Source organism: Homo sapiens, chromosome 2, assembly GCF_000001405.40.
Source record: "Homo sapiens chromosome 2, GRCh38.p14 Primary Assembly".
Taxonomy (NCBI): domain Eukaryota; kingdom Metazoa; phylum Chordata; class Mammalia; order Primates; family Hominidae; genus Homo; species Homo sapiens.
In genome coordinates, this window is record NC_000002.12 from 174,295,155 (window position 1) to 174,307,877 (window position 12,723).

At 42.4% G+C, this 12,723-nt stretch overlaps 1 pseudogene; it reads right to left on the minus strand.

Moving 5' to 3' along the window:
- LRRC2P1 (LRRC2 pseudogene 1) lies at positions 4,850-5,829 on the minus strand (annotated as a pseudogene).

Genomic DNA, 12,723 nt, shown 5'->3' on the forward strand with positions numbered 1-12,723 from the left:
TGTTGGTCAAAGGGTACAAATTTTCAGTTACACAACATGGATAAGTTCTGGAGACCTACTACACAGCATAGCGCCTATAGTTAACAGTACTGTAACGTACACTTATATATTTTCTAGGAGTGTAGGTCTTATGTTAACTGTTCTTAGCACAAAAAATAATAATAAATAAATAACGGGAGAGGAAGAAAACTTTTGGAGGTGATAGATATGTATGTTTATGGCCTGGATTGTGATGATGGTTTCAGGAGCGTATACATATTTCCAAATTAATCATTATATACATTTAATACATACAGTTTTTGTGTCTCAATCATACCTCCATAAAGTGATTTTTAAAAATTCCTTGGAGGAATCCTGTATTGACTGGCTAGTCAGTCCTTTCACACTGATGAAGATGGGCTGTACTTTTGTCATCTGACCATCTTTCTCCATCCCTTTTCGGGTTTCTGAAGCCCTTTTGCTGGTGTATTGTGAAGGCTTTTAAGGAACATTTGCTTCCTCAGCAATGTCATTCATCCAAGTTTCCACAGTGAGTGTTCCATCTTATGTCAGCATCCCACCAGGGCAAGCAGAAGAATTTATGACCCTTCAAGTTCAAAGTTTATGCCTCTCTGTTGGATCATCCACTCAGTTGCTCATTTTTATCTCTCAGAAACCTCAAACTCTTCACTCATGTGCCTGGGAAAGATCACAGGCAAGTTCTTAAGCCCAAAGAACAATCTCACCTTTACCTACTGTATCAGGTCTACCTATTACCCAGAATCTCTTTGATGACTCATCTCACCCAATAATACTGATTGACACTTTTCTCTCTAAAGATAAAGTGAGAGTTTAGGGAGTGATTCTCCCATATGCACTAAAAAGCAAAATTAAGCAACAGTATCAGAAAGTTCATCATATCACAATGGAAACTGAAAAACAGGGTGGCATCAAGCAACAGATGAAAATTAAGGTATTTAAAACTACAGTGGGGCTCAATCTCTTTCAAAAACATATAAAATCTGATATCATACCAAAATTCTTGAAGCACAAATGAAGACTTAGACAATCTGTGTGGTGGCCGGGCACAATGGCTCACACCTGTAATGCCAGTACTTTGGGAGGCCGAGGTGGGCGGATCACTTGAGGTCAGGAGTTCGAGACCAGCCTGGCCAACATGGTGAAATCCCGTTTCTACTAAAAATACAAAAATTAGCCAGGCGTGGTGGTGGGCACCTGCAATCCCAGTTACTAGGGAGGCTCAGGCAGGAGAATTGCTTGAACCTGGGAGGCAGAGGTTGCAGTGAGCCAAGACAGTGTCACTGCACACCAGCCTGGGCAACGGAGCGAGACTCAGTCTCAAAAAACAAACAAACAAAAAATCTGTGTGGTAGCTGAGCTCATCAAAAACAGTTCCAGCTGGGCACAATGGCTCATGCCTATAATCTTTGGGAGGCTGTGGTGGGAGGATTGCTTGAGCCTAGGCGTTTGGGACCAGCCTGGGAAACACAGGAAGACTCCATCTCTACAAAAAAATTGAAAATTAGCCAGGTGTGGTGGTGTGCGCCTGTAGTCCCAGCCACTCAGGAGGTTGAGGTGGGAGGATTGCCTGAGCCTGGGAGGTTGCAGCTGTAGTGAGCCACGATGGCGCCACTGCCCTCCAGCCTGAGCAACAGAGCAAGACCCTGTCTCAAAAGAAAACCAAACAGGCCGAGTGTGGCAGCTCACGCCTGTAATCCCAACACTTTGGGAGGCCAAGGCAGGTGGATCACTTGAGGTCAGGAGTTCGAGACCAGCCTGGCCAACATGGTGAAATCCCATCTCTAACTAAAAACACAAAAATTAGCCAGGCGTGGTGGTGTGCACCTGTAATCCCAGCTCCTCAGGAGGGTGAGGCAGGAGAATCACTTGAACTTGGGAGGCAGAGGTTGCAGTGAACTGAGATCGCACCATTGCACTCCAGCCTGGGCAACAGAGCGAGACTCCATCTCAAAACAACAACAACAACAACCAAACAGCCGGCCACAGTGGCTCAAGCCTGTAATCCCAGCACTTTGGGAGGCTGAGGTGGGTGGATCACTTGAGGTCAGGAGTTCGAGACCAGCCTGGCCAACGTGGTGAAACCCCATCTCTACTAAAAATACAAAAAAAAAAATTAGCTAGGTGTGGGGGTGCACACCTGTAGTCCCAGCTACTGGGGAGGCTGAGGCAAGAGAATCACTCAAACCCGGGATGCAGAGGCTGCAGTGAGCCGAGAACACACCACAACACTGCAGCCTGGGCAACAGAGCAAAACTCTGTCTCAAAAAAAAAAAAAAGACAACCAACCAAACAAAAAACAGTTCCCTGCCCAAGACATGAGATGTGGATATGTGTGGCATCAGGGTAACAGTTAGCTCTGATAAGCTAAGGTGGGGGTGCAGGATGATTACCGCCAGAAGAATTGCTATAAGGATATACACTGACATTCTGCTTCAATGTGGCATCTCAATAGAATACTGGAAAAACATCAGTGACAGTGCTTCCTGAGAAAAGATTTTGAGTAGAGGATACATTTTAAGGGACAAAGTTACAAATAGTAATAAGGACTGTGAAGGGTGGTGACTGCTATACATTTAAAAAGAACATGTGAGCCATATGTGGGAAGAAATGCTTTGGGCATTGCTGTTAGAGAGAATGGTCATTTCTTTGGCAGAACTAGTGGTTGGTCCTGTTAAGGAGGTTTTTCTCCCCTATCTTTCCACCTAAAAAACACCTTAGCACTGAGTAGCAAGGGTTTGTATTTCACTATAAGATGCATGATTCTGAAATTGAAAGTGTGGTGATAAAACCTGAAAGGATATTACATAGACCACCAGGTTGGTCTTATTTGAATGCTGAGACCAGAACAGTCTGTTGAATTATTTCTTCATTTGACATATTTCTTTTAATAACTGTGGAAGACTGCATTTTTGTTCTCGATTATTCCCCACACTTCCCATAAGAGAATTTTATATCCTACATATTTCCATGTGACTTGCAGTGCCTTCCTACAGGTGCAGACTTCCCCACTCTATTAAGGTTAGGTTAACCCATGTGATTTCCTTCAGCCAATGAAATGTGAGGCATAAGCCATGTTTACCATCTAAACAGGAATTAAAGAGACATTGCATGGCTTAGCCATTGTACTCTTTTCTCTCTGTCACAGTAACGAATGTCTTTCATCTGTGTTACTCCGTCAACCTGGATTCTGAAATGAATACCCATTGAGCTAAGCTGCAGCTGACATGTACCAAGAGGGAGAAATAAACCTTTGTTGTCATAAACCACTGAGATTTGGGGGTGTTTCTTATTGCCACATAAACTAGCAAGAGCTCATTAATGCAATAATCTTACAAATTAGCACGGGAGCTATCCACTGACCGCAGTTATCAAGTATGCAATTACATATTCCAGATGAAGTGCTAGAGTCCAAATAGCTAAGATAAAAACATGCCTCACAAAGAAATGTAATTGATATTAATCTTAATTTTCTACCTAGAACTTTTCTTCACCTATTTGGTAGGTCGATAACAGGTTATAGAGTATAATATTTCCAGCTTCTGCATGTTCATTAAAAAGACCTCCATTGTACTCCATCAAATTAAGACTGTAATTAACCTAACATGTCTCCAAATAAAAGCCAACTTTTTCTGCTAACTTTTAAGGAAATCCTCACTTTCATTCAAAGATTCCTAATTCTAGCGGTGAGAAAACTATTTGCATTTACAACTTTGAATAAACAATTCAATTGACCTCCAACCTTCCCAACAGTTTCAAAAGCAAAATCATACATTAGAATACAACACAAAAGCACTAGGAGCCAGGCAACATTCCATAGGTTTTAACAGCCAATGAAACTCCAGACCATAATTAGTTCCTCTCTCAGTATTTTATCATAAAAGCCTAAGAAGTTTTTACAATTTCTAGGCTTGATATCTTTTAAGGCCAAATAATGTAGCCTCATTTATTTTTACTCTTTTTAAAAAATTTTTTGGAGGGAGGTATTCATATATTTGACATTTGAAAATCACTTTTCTTAACAACTATGATAGTGGTTTCTAGACTTTGTCCTTAAGCACAAGCCATTCTTCCTACATGACATGACCCATAACACAAAAACTTAAAGCTCCACAGAATAGTGAGACTTTGCTGTCTTCTGATGGATGATATCAAAGTTGAAGGCTAAAAGACCCTTTGGTGGTATAGCTTGGGACAGATTCTCTTTCCTTAAGATCTTCAATATAGGCTTTCATACATTCTTGTTTTTTTGAGACAGAACCTCACTCTGTCACCCGGACTGGAGTGTGGTGGCACAATCTTGGCTCCCTACAACCTTTGCCTTCTGGGTTCAAGTGATTCTCCTGCCTCAGCCTCCAGAGTAGCTGGCATTACAGGCACGTGCCACCACACCCCACTAATTTTTGTATTTTTAGTAGAGACAGGGTCTCACCATGTTGGCCAAGCTGGTCTCAAACTCCTGACCTCAACCGATCCACCTACCTTGGCTTCCCAAAGTGCTGGGATTACGGGCATGAGCCACCGCACCCAGCCTCATAAATTCTTTATCAAGGCTCATGCCTATATTTCTAACACTTTGGGAGGCCAAGGCGGGCGGAAAACTTGAGCCCAGGAGTTCGAGACTAGCCTGGCCAACATGGCAAAACCCCATCTCTACTAAAAATACAAAAATTAGCCAGGTGTGGTGGTGCACAGCTCTGGTCCCAACTACTCAGGAGGCTGAGGTGGAGGAATCGCTTGAACTCAGGAGGTGGAGGTTGCAGTGAGCTGAGATCGTGCCACTGCACTCAAGCCTGGGTGACAGAGCAAGACTCTGTCAAAAAAAAGGAGGGGATTGTTTATAAGGCTTACAAATTTTAAAGGTGTGGAGGAGTCACAAAGAGCAGCTGAAAGCTCCACCAAGTGGTCCCCATTGACGACTAACAAGGTGCGCTTCTTCAGGTTAAGCATGGGGTAAGGAAGGTAGGTCAACTTGCTTCTATACAAGAGAAAGCCCTGCGGCTCTTCCAGCCTGTATCTTGCCGCAAGGCAGTCAGGTTATTGTTGCTGATATCCAACCACTGCAAATAGACATCCTCAGGACACAGACTGGGACACTGGAAAACTTGTTTGCTGAGATATCTACGAATGCAACTGGCTTCCAATTACTTAATTCAAAAGGCAGCTCTGTGAATTCCAGATTTCCAGAACAATCCAGTCCCTCTAGATTTCACAATCTCCCAGCTCTGGAGGAATGCTCTTCAGATAGTTGAAACTCACATTGAGTTATTTCAGGTTCTTCAAACAACTGAGTTTAGCTGGAAAATGTGAGATTTGTTTCTTTGGCAGATCCTGAATTCTCATCGCTTGAAACAGCTCAATATATGTGGGAGTAATTTGAATCAGGGTGTCGCATACATGCCATTCTCTCAGGTGCGTCTGCTCCTTTAACAAATCTGGCAGCTCCGTCCAGTACTCCCCAGAAAGTCCAAACACAAACACACTGCTCCATTTGCCTCTGTCCTTGGGAAGTGAACTCTGCCTTGTGAGAGCTTTCCTTTCTATCTTTTCCAGAAGCTGCATGCTATGAATGTCTATGAAGCCACTATCCCAGCCAGTACTCAGCCCAGGAGATGCCTTTCCTCCTGCACTTGACCTCAAGGGGCCACTCCTCCTTTGTCTTTTCTGATGCACTCTTCTCAAGACTTTCTGCCTCCTTCTTCTGCCAAACTTGTGCTTCTTGACACAAGTTTCCCACAAGGCTCTGACAACAGAAATGTCAAATATGACCACTTTGTATCCCATTTTGGGAGCACGAAATTACCCGTGGGGAATGCGGATCTTTTCGGTGGGTTCTGGTCCTTGGGTGAGACAGGATTTTTTGTGGCTGAAAGGCTAGCGCCCTGGAGTTCTGGACTGTCTTCAGCCCAGCCAATACCAACATCACCAGACTGAGGGCCTCGGTTCCCTCCTCTCTTCTTTCTTTTTTAGAGACAGGATCTTGCTCTGTCACCTAGGCTGGAGTACAGTGGTGCGATCACAGTTCACTGCAGTCTCAAACTCCTGGCCTCATGTTATCCTCCTGCCTTGGCCTCACAAAGCCCTGGGATTTTGGGTGTGAGCCACTGCACCTGACCACTCAATTTTTAAAGAAAGAATTTATTTTAAATCCTGTATCTGTACAATATCCAAACAATTCATCAAATCAATGAAAAATGTTAGGCAATTCAGCTGTTCGATGCAACATTGGCACAAAGTGAGTCTCCAACTCCTGCCCTCAAGCACTCCTCCCACCTTGGCCTCCCAAAGCACTGGGATTATAGGTGTGGACCACTGTGCCTGGCTGTTTTTGTTTTCCTTAAGAAAAAAAAAAAACAATGGCTTGGTTTTATAACTACCAAATTGGAAAATTGGCTTGGCCTCTGGGCCAGACAGGTGTTATAATATTTCTACTGAGTTTAGCATACTATTCAGTCACAGGTAGAGATCCCGGGCAATGCTGAACCCCTTAGCCTCCCCTCCAAACAAACCAATGCTTTCTCCTATTGTTGTCTCACATTTTACTTCCACATATGCTGTAAACCTCATACTCTGTTATTACTTTTAACAATCATCTTTTTTTATTTTGGGTTTTCTTTGCTTTTATTATTATTTTAAATGGACACATAGTAATTGTACATATTTATGAGGTACAGTGTGATATTTAGATACATGTGTACAATGTATAATGACCAAATCCAGGTAATTAGCATATCCGTCACCTCAAATATCTATCATTTCTTTGTTTTGGGAGCATTCAAAATCTGCTTTTCTAGCTATTTGAAAATATACAATAAATCGTTGTTAATTATAGTCTCCCTGTAGTGTTATAGAACACCAGGAATTATTCCTCCTACCTAGTTGTATTTTTACTTCTGTCAACCAACTTTTGCCTATCTTCCCCTCCCCACCAACTCATCTCTGCCTCTAGTAACCACTATTCTACTTTCTATCTCTAAGAGATCAACTTTGTAGCTTCCACGTATGAGGAAGAACACACAGTATTTATCTTTCTCTGTCTGGATTATTTCACTTAACCTAACGTCCTCCAAGTTCATTCAGGTTGCTGTGAATGACAGAATTTTTTAATTTGTTATGGCAGTATTCTGTTGTGCATATACACCATGCTTTCTTTCTTTTTTTTTTGAGACGGAGTTTTGCTCTTGTTGCCCAGGCTGGAGTGCAGTGGTCTGATCTCGGTTCACTGAAACCTTCGCCTCTCAGATTCAAGTGATTCTCCTGCCTCAGACTCCTGAGTAGCTGGGATTACAGGCATCCGCCACCACGCCAGGCTAATTTTTTGTATTTTTAGTAGAGATGGGTTTTCACCATGTTGGCCAGGCTGGTCTCGAACTCCTGACCTCAGGTGATCCACCTGCCTCGGCCTCCCAAAATGCTAGGATTACAGACTTGAGCCACTGCACCCGGCCCTATACCATGCTTTCTTTATGTATTTTTATTTTTATTTGAGACGGAGTTTCGCTCTGTCACCAGGCTGGAGTGCAGTGGCCCAATCTCGGCCCCCTGCAATCTCCGCCTCCCGGGTTCAAGTGATTCTCCTGCCTCAGCCTCCCGAGTAGCTGTGCTATGCTTTTTTTTTTTTTTTTTTTTTTTTTTTTTTTGAGATGATGTTTCACTCTTGTTGCCCAGGCTGGAGTGCAACGGCACGATCTCAGCTCACCGCAACCTCCACCTCCTGGGTTCAAGCGATTCTCCTGTCTCAACCTCCTGAGTAGCTGGGATTACAGGCGCCCGCCACCATGCCCAGCTAATTTTGCATTAGCTGGTCTCGAATTCCTGACCTCAGGTGATCTGCCCGCCTCAGCCTCCCAAAGTGCTGGGATTACAGATGTGAGCCACTGTGCCCAGCCTGTACCATGCTTTCTTTATCCATTCATCTGTTGATGGATATGTAGGTGGATTCCATGTCTTAACTATTGTGAACAGTGCCACAATAAACATGAGAGTGCAGATATCTCTCTGACATATTGATGTCCTTTCCTTTGGATATATACCTAGATGTGGGATTGCTGGATCATATGGTAGTTCTATTTTTAGGGGTTTTTGGGTTTTTTTGTTTTGTTTTGTTTGTTTGTTTTTTGAGAGGGAGTCTCGCTCTGTTGCCCAGGCTGGAGTGCAGTGGCGCGATCTTGGTGCACTGCAACCTCTGTCTCCTGGGTTCAAGCTATTCTTCTGCCTCAGCCCCCTGAGTAGCTGGAATCACAGGCATCCGCCACCACACCCGGCTAATTTTTTGTATTTTTAGTAGAGATGGGGTTTCACCATTTTGGCCAGGCTGGTCTGGAACTCCTGATCTCAAGTGACCCACCTGCCTAGGCCTCCCAAAGTGCTGGGATTACAGGCATGAGCCACTGTGCCTGGCCTATTTTTAGTTTCTCGAGGAACGTCCACACTGTTTTCCATAATGACTGCTAATTTATATGGCTACAAACAGGGCATAAGAGTTCTCCTTTCTCACTGGGCGCGGTGGCTCACACCTATAATCGCAGCACTTTGGGAGGCCAAGGTGGGTGGATCACGAGGTCAGGAGATCGAGACCATCCTGGCTAACACGGTGAAAACCCGTCTCTACTAAAAATACAAAAAAATTAGCCGGGCACGGTGGCGGGCGCCTGTAGTCCCAGCTACTCGGGAGGCTGAGGCAGGAGGATGGCGTGACCTGGGAGGCGGAGCCTGCAGTGAGCCGAGATCGGACCACTGCACTCCAGCCTGGGCAACAGAGAGAGACTCCATCTCAAAAAAAAAAGAGTTCTCCTTTCTCCACCTCCCTACAAGCATTTGTTGGGTATTTTTTTGTTTTTGTTTTTTGTTTTTAATAATAGCCTTTCCAACTGGGGTAAGAGAACTTATTGTGGTTTTGATTTGTATTTCTCTGATGATTAGTAATGTTGAACATCTTTTCATATACCTGTGGGCCATTTGTATATCTTCTTGAATGAGAGATATCAGTTCAGCTCATTTGCCTATTTTTCATTTATTTATTTTTTTCTGTTGAGTTGTTTGCATTCCTTGAGTTCCTTGTATACTCTGGATATTAATCCCTGGCTGGATAAATAGCTTGCAAATATTTTCTAACATTCTGTAAGTCGTCTCTTCACTCTGTTGATTGTTTTCTTTGCTGTGCAGAAGCTTTTTCATTTGACAGAATTCCATTTGTCTGTTTTTGCCTTTATTGCCTATACTTATGAGGTCTTTTCCATAAAAATCTTTGACCAGGCAATGTCCTGAAGCATTTCTCCTGTCTTTATAGTTTTTGGTCTTACATTTAAATCTTTTTTTGTTTTTTGTTTTTTTTTCTTTTTTTTGAGATGGAGTTTCAAAGAGTTTCACTCTTGTTGCCCAGGCTGGATTGCAATGGCATGATCTCGGCTCACTGCAACCTCTGCCTCCTGAGTTTGAGCGATTCTCCTGCCTCAGCCTCCTGAGTAGCGCCCACCACCACGCCCGGCTAATTTTTTTGTATTTTTAGTAGAAACAGGGTTTCACCATGTTGATCAGGCTGGTCTTGAACTCCTGTCCTCAAGTGATCCACCTGCCTTGGCCTCCCAAAGTTCTGGGATTACAAGTGTGAGCCACTGTGCCCAGCCTACATTTAAATCTTTAATCCATTTTGAGGTTTGTTTGTTTGCATTTTTTTGTGATGGAGTTTCGTTATTTTTGCCCAGGCTGGAGTGCAATGGCGTGATCTCGGCTCACTGCAACCTCTGCCTCCGGGCTTCAAGTGATTCTCCTGCCTCAGCCTCCTGAGTAGCTGGGATTACAGGCAGGTGCCACCACACCTGGCTAATTTTGTATTTTTAGTAGAGATGGGGTTTCTCCATGTTGGTCAAGCTGGTCTTGAACTCCCGACCTCAGGTGATCCACCCACCTCGGCCTCCCAAAGTGCTGGGATTATAGGCATGAGCCACCATGCCTGGCTTTTTTTTTTTTTTAATATGGTGAGAGACAGGGGTCTAGTTTTATTTTTTCACATACAAATATTCAGTTTTCCAGCACCATTTATTGAAAAGACTGCCCCTTCCCCAATAAATGTTCTTGGCATCTTTGTTGAAAATAAGCTAACTGCAAATATGTGGATTTATTTTTGGGCTCTCTATTCTGTCCCATTCATCTGTGTGCCTGCTTTTGTGCCAGTGCCATGTTGTTTTGTTACTATAGCTCTTGTAGTATATTTTGAATTCCAGTAGTGTGATGCCTCCAATTTTGTTCTTTTTGCTCAAGATTGCTTTGGCCATTCATGGCTTCTTGTGGTTCCATAGAAATTTTAAGGTTTTTTTTCTATTTCTGTGAAGAGAGTCATTAATATTTTGATAGGGATGGTATTTAATCTGTAGATCACTTTTAATAGTATGGTCATTTTCACAATATTCTTCCAAGAATATTGGAAACATGAACATGGGATGTCTTTCCATTTTTGAGTGTGTCCTCTTCAATTTATTTCATCGGTGTTTTATAGTTTTCCTGTAGTTTATAGAGAAAGATCTTTAGCTTTCACCTTCTTTGTTAAATTTATTCCCATGAATTTTTTTTGGTAGCTATTGAAAGTTGGATTGCTTTCTTGATTCCTTCTTCTGCTTGCTCACTGTTGATGTATAAAAATGCTACTGATTTTTGTATGTTGATTTTGTATCCTGCAATGTTACTAAATTTTTTTTTATTAGTTCTAAGAGTTTTTGGTGGCACTTTTAGGGTTTTCTATATATAAGATCATGTTGTTTGCAAACAGGGGCAATTTGACTTTGACTTTCTCCTTCCCACTTGGATGCCCTTCATTTCTTTCTCTGGCTAGGCAATCATCTTTTTTTTTTTTTTTTTTTTTTTTTTTGAGATGGAGTCTTGCTCTGTTGCTCAGGCTGGAGTGCAATGGCACAATCTCGGCTCACTGCAACCTCCACCTTCCGGGTTCAAGTGATTCTCCTGCCTCAGCCTCCTGAGTAGCTGGGACTACAGGTGCATGCCACAGGCCTGGCTAATTTTTTGTATTTTTAGCAGAGACAGGGTTTCACCGTGTTAGCCAGGATGGTATCGAACTCCTGACATCGTGATCTGCCCGCCTCAGCCTCCCAAAGTGCTGGGATTACAGGCGTGAGCCACTGTGCCCAGCTTATCTTTTTAAAATATTGAAATAATGTTAAAAATTTTATTTATTTACCTACATAGTTACCATTTCCAATGCTCTTTATTCCTTTAGGTAGACTTATATTTCCCACTGTTCTTTCTGCCTAAAAGATTTCCTTTAATATTTTCTGTAATGTGGATATTCAGGTGATAAGTCCTTTCAGCTTTTTAATGTCTAAAAATGTCTCTATTTTGTCTTCATTTTTAAGATATATTTATTTATTTAGAGATGGGGTCTAAATATGTTGCCCAGGCTGAACTCAAACTCCTGGGCTCAAGTGATCCTCCTACCTCAGCCTCCTGAATAGCTGGGACTACAGGCAGGCACCACCATCCCTGGCTTAAAAGATATCTTAATATACAATTTTAGGTTGACAGCTTTTTCTTTTTAAGTACTTTAAAGATGTTGTTCCACTATTTTCTTTTGTTTACCTTGTCTCTAACAAGAAATGTTCTGTCATCATTATGTCTGTGCTTCTGTACATATCATATCTTCTTTCTCCTCTGGCTGCTTTTTTTTTTTTTTTTTGAGATGGAGTCTCGCTCTGTCACCCAGGCTGGGGTGCAGTGGCGCAATCTCGGCTCACTGCAACCTCCACCTCCCGGGTTCAAGCAATTCTCCTGCCTCAGCTTCCCGAGGAGCTGGGATTACAGGCGCCCACCATCATACCTGGCTAATTTTTATATTTTTAGTAGAGACAAGGTTTCACCCAGTTGGTCAGGTTGGTCTTGAACTCCTTACCTCAGGTCATCTGCCCACCTCAGCCTCCCAAAGTGCTGGGATTACAGGTGTGAGCCACCGCGCCCAGCCCTCTGGCTGCTTTTAATATTTTTTATTTATAATTTATTTTAAGCGACTTGATTATGATTTTGCTTTAGTGTAGTTTTCTTCACATTTCTTGTGCTTTGGTTTGTTGAGCTTCTTGGATCTGTTGGTTTATAGCTTTTATCAAATTTGGAAATGTCATGGCTTTTATTTCTTTTGAGATATTTTTTCTGTCACCCCTTTTCCTCAGGACTCCAACAACATATATGTTAGGCCACTTGATGTTGTCCCACAGCTTACTGATGATCTGTTTCTTTTTTCTTATACCCCAGACTTATATTTTGAGTTTTATTTTGCATAGCTTATATTGACATGTTTTAAAGTTCACTCATGTTTTCTGCAATGTCTAACCTGTCATTGATTCTATCCAGTGTATTTTTAATCTCAGTCATTGTCATTTTTATATCCAAAAGTTCAATTTGTATCTTTTTCATATTTCCTATGTCTTTACTTAACATATTCAATCATTCCTCTAGATCTGAGTTTCTCAACCTCAGCACTTCTGACAATTTGGGCTAGATAATTTTTTGTCGTGGGGGGCTGTTCTGTGCATGAAGAATGTTTAGCAACATCTCTGGATTCTACCTACATCATGCCAGTGTCACCACTACCCCCAAATTGTGGCAACCAAACTGTCTCCAGACATTGCCAAATGTCACCAGGGATGGGGAATCATGCCTCTACTGAAAACTATTACTCTAGATTTTGAGATATAAGGAATA